Source organism: Homo sapiens, chromosome 15 (genome assembly GCF_000001405.40).
Source record: "Homo sapiens chromosome 15, GRCh38.p14 Primary Assembly".
Taxonomy (NCBI): Eukaryota; Metazoa; Chordata; class Mammalia; order Primates; family Hominidae; genus Homo; species Homo sapiens.
In genome coordinates, this window is record NC_000015.10 from 98024112 (window position 1) to 98030685 (window position 6574).

Here is a 6574-nt window from a genome sequence, read left to right on the forward strand (position 1 = left end):
TGACAAGTCCCCCTGGTGTTCTAAGACTAGCACACCCCAGCAAAAGGAACAATAGGGACGGTCTGTTCCACTAATCTTTCATTCCCTCCCAGGCACATCTGATGCCAAACTTGGGCTTTTGATGATAAGAGGCATGTACTGACTTTCCCTGCTGCCTCGAGTTTAGCTAAGAGTAAACTCCAACTCTCTTCATTGCTTCCTACTAACTAAGGGATGAAATATACAGCATGCTCGCATAGGAGACTGGCATGCTTCCCAGGGTCATTCTAAATGGTACCCTTCTAGATATGCAGACACCTAAAAAGAAACGGTAGGGGTTTCTCAGGCCAAGGGTTCTAGGTTGGCATGTGACCTCACCCAGAGAGCAGAGCCCCCTGTGCGGGCTGCATGCAGGTCACAGGGTCAGACAGAGTTCGCTGTGAAGCAAGCTGGTGAGGAACGTGTTGGGGAGTCCTGGAGAGTCTCCCAACACCTCCACAATCAGGCCACTAACTTTGCTGACTCAGGGAACATTTTAATTACAATAAACATCCTTCCACTTAATGTATTTTGGGAGTTTCTTTCAGCAAATGTATTAGAGACAAAATGAAAATCACAGCCTTCAGAGAAGAGAATTAGTCATATACAAAATTTTGATCCTCATTCTTAAGCTGCTGGGCCACAGTTGGAGGAAAAGCATCAAGTGCCAGATGGAGAACCCCCCGCCTGGGCAAGCATGATCAACAAGAACTGGATATGTCCAGTAGCCAGAAATCACTAATACATTCCTATCCCTCCGTTTTTCTTATTTCCTACATAGCTAACTTCCTGCTCCACAGGCATCTTAAGAAAAGTAGACCCTCTCTCAAAAACCATTGTGATTCCTCATTAAGAAAGACTAAAGGGAGTTGAGTCATCTTAGAATCTCATTACAATATGATAGAGAATCTTACCTTAGTTCCCCTAATATATTTTTGTGTATTAGAAAGTAGATTTTGAAATGTGAGAGTTATTGTCCTCTTTTTTTTTTTTTTTTTTTACATGAATGCAAGCTCTTGCATTTCTCAAAAAAGCAAGTATGTAGACAGGTGGTTTCTGGATCTCAGAATATACCAACAGAGAAAATAATTAGAAAAATAATTAGAATCAAAGTTTGATGGACAGGTTATTTAAATTAAGTGCCCTTCCTCTGACTCCAGGCACTGTGTAGACTCACAGTGGAGAAGCTGGTCTTACAGCTGTTACAACATTGGCCAGCCCATTTCACAGGGCCTGGCCTAGTTTTTATAGGAAATGAAGCAGGTGAATGTCAGTGTTTAGGAGCCAAGACTCCACTGTTCTCTTCTGTTGGGAAAATCTCTGAAGCATTGTTTAACAATATGCAAAGTGGAATTTCTTTCTGACTGAGTCATTCTTTTGTTGAGTCCAGGAAATTAAAGAGAACATTATTCGTGTGCTGAAAATGCGGAGTGCATAGTGACTACATGATACATCAGGAGGCTTTGAATTTGTTGATGTGAAGGTAGCAGATGACCATATTAATGTGATGTAGTTACAAGTAAATACAACGCAGAGGGCTAAGTCTATTTGGGATATACAGGTAAGCTTCGAGGACTCAGCCAGGAATCTTAGAGACCTCATAGATTCCCCTAGGAGAACAAATGACAGAATCTGACCAGCTTCCCTGGGATATCGTATAGGAGACATGTCTCCATCTCTGGTCTTCTGACATGGTATCCAGACTTTTGTACTTTGCCACATTCACCTTTTTATAAGGAGATTGTTTTTTTCTCAGATCTTGGAAAGTTGGGGGGAGTAAGTGATGGATTCAACACACTGTTGCCTGCATTCTTCCCTTTCCCTTCCACATCCCTGTGGGACTGATTCTCCGATCTCTACTGCAGTACTCTTGTATTTTTGATGTGATGATATACCCATAAGAAGCAGTGTTGTGCTAACTTCGGCAGCACATACTGGAATGGTAAGAGAAAATTAGCACAGCCCCTGTGCAAGGCTGACATGAAAATGTGTAAAGCATTCCATTTTTAAAAGTAAAATAAAAACATAAAAAATAGCAGTGTTGATTAGAGAAAAGAAGTACTAGTAACAGTAGCCAGGATAAAAAATAACTATACAAAAATCAGTAACATTCCTACACACCAACAACATCCAAGTGGAGAGCCAAACCAGGAACACAATCCCATTCACAATAGCCATTAAAAGAATAAAATACCCAGAAATACAGCTAACCACGGAGGCGAAAGACCTCTACAAGAATTTCAAAACACTGCACAAAGAAACCAGAGTTGACACAAACAAATGAAAAAGCATTCCATACTCACAGAGAGGAAGAATTAATATTGTTAAAATTGCCATATTGCCCAATGTAATTTACAGATTCAATGCTGTTACTATCAAACTACCAATGATATTCTTCACGAAATTAGAAAAAAACTATTTTATCACATGGAACCAAAAAAGAGCCAGAAGAGCCAAGGCAATCCTAAGCAAAGAGAACACAGCTGGAAGCATCACATTACCCAACTTCAAACTAGACTATAAGGCTACAGTAACCAAATCATCATGGTACTGGTACCAAAACAGACACACAGACCAATGGAACAGAACGCAGAGCCCAGAAATCATGCTGCATACCTACAACCATCTGATCTTCGACAAACTTGACAAAAATAAGCAATGGGGAAGGGAACATCCATTCAATGAATCGTGCTGGGATAACTATCTAGTCATATGCAACAGATTGAAATTGGACCCCTTCCTTACACCATATACCCAAATCAACTCAAGATGGATTAAAGACTGAAACATAATATCTAAAACTATGAAAACCATGGAAGATAACCTAGGCAATACCATTCTGGACATAGGACCTGGCAAAGATTTTGCGATAAAGATGCCAAAAGCAATTGCAAAAAAAAAAAAATCAACAAATGGGACTTAATTAAACTAAAGAGCTTCTGCACAGCAAATAAATTGTCAACAGAGTAAACAGGCAACCTACAGAATGGGAGAAAATATTTGCAAACTATGCATCTGACAAAGGTCTAATATATTTTCAGAATCTGTAAGGAGCTTAAAGAAATTTACAAGTAAAAACAACACTATGAAAAAGTGGGCAAAGGACATGAACAGACACTTCAGAAGAATACATACACACGGCCAAAAAGCATATGAAAAACTGCTCAACATCACTAATCGTCAGGTAAATGTAATTCAAAACCACAAAGAGACACCGTCTCACGCAAGTGAGAATGGCTATTATTAAAAAGGCAAAAAATAACAGATGTTGACTGGATTATGAAGAAATAGAAACTCTTATCCACTGCTGGTGGGAATGTAAATTAGTTCAGCCATTGTGAAAAGAAGTCTGTCCATTTCTCAAAGAACTTCAAACAGAACTACCATTTGACCCAGCAATCCCATTATTAGGTATGTACCTAAAGGAATATTAATCATTCTACCATAAAGACACATGCACATGGATGTTCACTGCAGTGCTATTCACAACAGCAAAGACATGGAATCAACCTAAATGCCCATCAATAGTCAACTAAAGAAAATATGGTGCACATACACCATGGAATACTATACAGCCATAAAAAAGAATGAGATCATGTTCTTTGCTGCAGCATGGATGGAGCTGGAGGCTGCTACCCTAAGCAAACTAACACAGGCACAGAAAACTAAATACTGCATGTTTTCACTTATAAGTGACAGCTAAACGTTGAGTACATGTGGACACAAAGAAAAGAACAGACACTGGGACCTACTTGAGGGTGCAGCATGGGAGGAGAGTGAGGACCAAAAAGCTATCTATTGGGTATTATGCTTATTATCTGGGTAGTTAAATAATCTGTACACCAAACCCCTGCAACATGCAATTTACCTATGTACATACCTGGACATGTATGCTTGGACCTAAAATAAAAGTTTTTTTTCTTAAGAAACAGTAGCATCTACCTACTGAGTACATACTCTGTGCCAGGCTAAATGTTTCACAGACATTCTGCAACCAGAAGGTAACTAGAAAGCTAAGTCCAATGCTGTCAATATAAGCATATAAAACTGCACCATTGAAAACCACTTCATGAACTACTAGCACATCACACTACGAAAATGTGCTCCAGTTGAGGCCTCTCTTTTATTAATTGTCCTCTATTTATCAGAGATGTTTTAGTGAACCTACAAATTCATTTTATACTAATGCCTTAAGTACTGAATGTAAAATGATTATTTTTGCAATTCTTGGAGGATATTCAGAAAGTCAATTCCAATGCATCTGGTAGTCTGAATCTGGCTGTTGATGCCAGTGAGCATCTCTTGTATACACTGGATGGATCAGAGATTACTTAATTTAATCTTCAAAATGCACTGGTTTTCAGATGAAGAATCAAAGGTTCAAACAGGCTAAGTAACTCACCGCTGATCACATCAGTAATAAATGATAGAGTCAACCCTTCCACTCACACTTAGGGGAGCAGTCCTCTCTTCAAGGCTGGCTGAGGAGCCCTTCTCTGAGTTTTAGCTAGCTCTCAGAGACCCTCTTTGCCAACCCTAAAGCCAAGAGGTTAAGCATAGCTTGCATTTGGGGTCTTGTTGGAGTCTGACCACCAAAAAGCAGCCATTGGCTCTCCCTGACTAAAAGCTTCTCATTTTCTAAGACCACTTATTTGGGTTTCATTGCAAAGACCAGCTGGGGCTAAAACAGGCAAACTCATGCTCCACAAAAAAAATACCATCGGATTATTTTAAAAACTCAAGAAATAAGAAGAGGAACCACATTTAATAGAGAACAATTAGCAATAACATTTGAGAAGGCCTTTGACCTGAATTTCCTAATATATCCAGACAGAACTTGGTGACTCATGACTCAGAATCATTTTCTTTGGAAAAGTATTTCAGGTTTTTTCCAGAAACATTTACTTAACTTTTTTTTTTTTTTTTTTTTTTTTGAGGTGGAGTCTCACTCTGTCACCCAGGCTGGAGTGCAGTGGCATGATCTCGGCTCACTGCAAGCTCCGCCTCCTGGGTTCAAGCCATTCTCCTGCCTCAGCCTCCTGAGTAGCTGGGACTACAGGCGCCCGCCACTGCGCCCGGCTAATTTTTTGTATTTTTAGTAGAGACAGGGTTTCACCGTGTTAGCCAGGATGGTCTCGATCTCCTGACCTCGTGATCTACCCGCCTCGGCCTCCCAAAGTGCTGGGATTACAGGACTGAGCCACTGTGCCCGGCTGTTTTTTTTTTTTTTAAATGTACTCCAAAACACATAGTTTGAGTTAATTTTGAATGTCAAGATCAACCCTTCTTTGGATCTGTGGGAAAACTCCATATAGCACAGGATGGTAGAATGTGCTTTCTTCTCAGGATCATGGAAAGGCTTTTCTCATCAGCTTCTACATGACACACATCACAGAAAAGACATCCAACCCACTGATTCACTAGGTCTCCTTAAGCGTCAGTAGATAGCTGCCTCTATTTTTGAAAATTCTATTGTGAAATATTTCTGACGTACAAAAATATGGAGGAAATAATATTATAAATGCAGGGATACCTGTCTCCAAACTTAAGAAATAAAGCTGTACAAATACACTTGAGGTGCTATTTTTTTTCCATCCCATCCCCCTAGGGAATGTCCAACATATCTATACATGTCTTTATGCTTTTACCACATTTGTCTGTATACCTAAACAATATTATTATTTTTGTACAACTCAAACATTACATAAACAGTATATCAATGACATTGTTCACAGGTATTCTTCAAAAATTTTTTTCCCTCGACAATATGCATGCAAAAATTTTCTACGTTGATGTTCATTTATTTTCACTGTAGTATAGTATTGTAATACACAAATATACTTCAATTTACTTCATCATTCTCTTGTCAATATTCATTAATTTATGTGTTAGTCCATTTTCACGCTGCTATAAAGAACTGCCCTAGACTGGGTAATTTATAAAGGAAAGAGGTTTAATTGACTCACAGTTCAGAACTGCTGGGGAGGCCTCAGGAAACTTACAATCATGGCAGAAGGCTAAGGGGAAACAAGGCACCTTTTTCACAAGGCAGCAAGGAGGAGAATGAATGCAGGAGGAAATACCTAACACTTACAAAACCGTCAGGTCTCATGAAAACTCACTCACTATCATGAGAACAGCACAGAGGAACTGCCCCCGTGATTCAATTACCTCCACCTGGTCTCTTCTCTGATATGTGGGGATTATGGGGATTATGCAAAATTATAATTCAAGATGAGATTTGGGTGGGGAGACAAAGCCTCACCATATTAATTTGTTTCTAATTTTTTGCTATTAGAAATAAAGATGATATACACCTTATTGTATGTGTTTTCTTGGATGCATATGTGAGATTTTCTCTAGCATATATTCTCAGAAATGTAATTGCTGGGTCACAGGGCTTGCTTATTTTCATCTTTGAGATACAGCTCCACTGCTTTACGAAGTGGTTGTACAAATTTTCCTTCCAACCTAAAAAGTTTGAGTTTCTGTTTTTCTATATCCTCACCAACACTTAGTATTTTCAGTCAATTTCTGCCAATCTAATTAGTATGAA

At 39.1% G+C, this 6574-nt stretch overlaps 1 pseudogene; it reads left to right on the forward strand.

Moving 5' to 3' along the window:
* The first annotated feature begins 1932 nt into the window (after positions 1-1932).
* Positions 1933-2028, forward strand: LOC124903587 (uncharacterized; annotated as a pseudogene).
* Positions 2029-6574: the final 4546 nt, after the last annotated feature.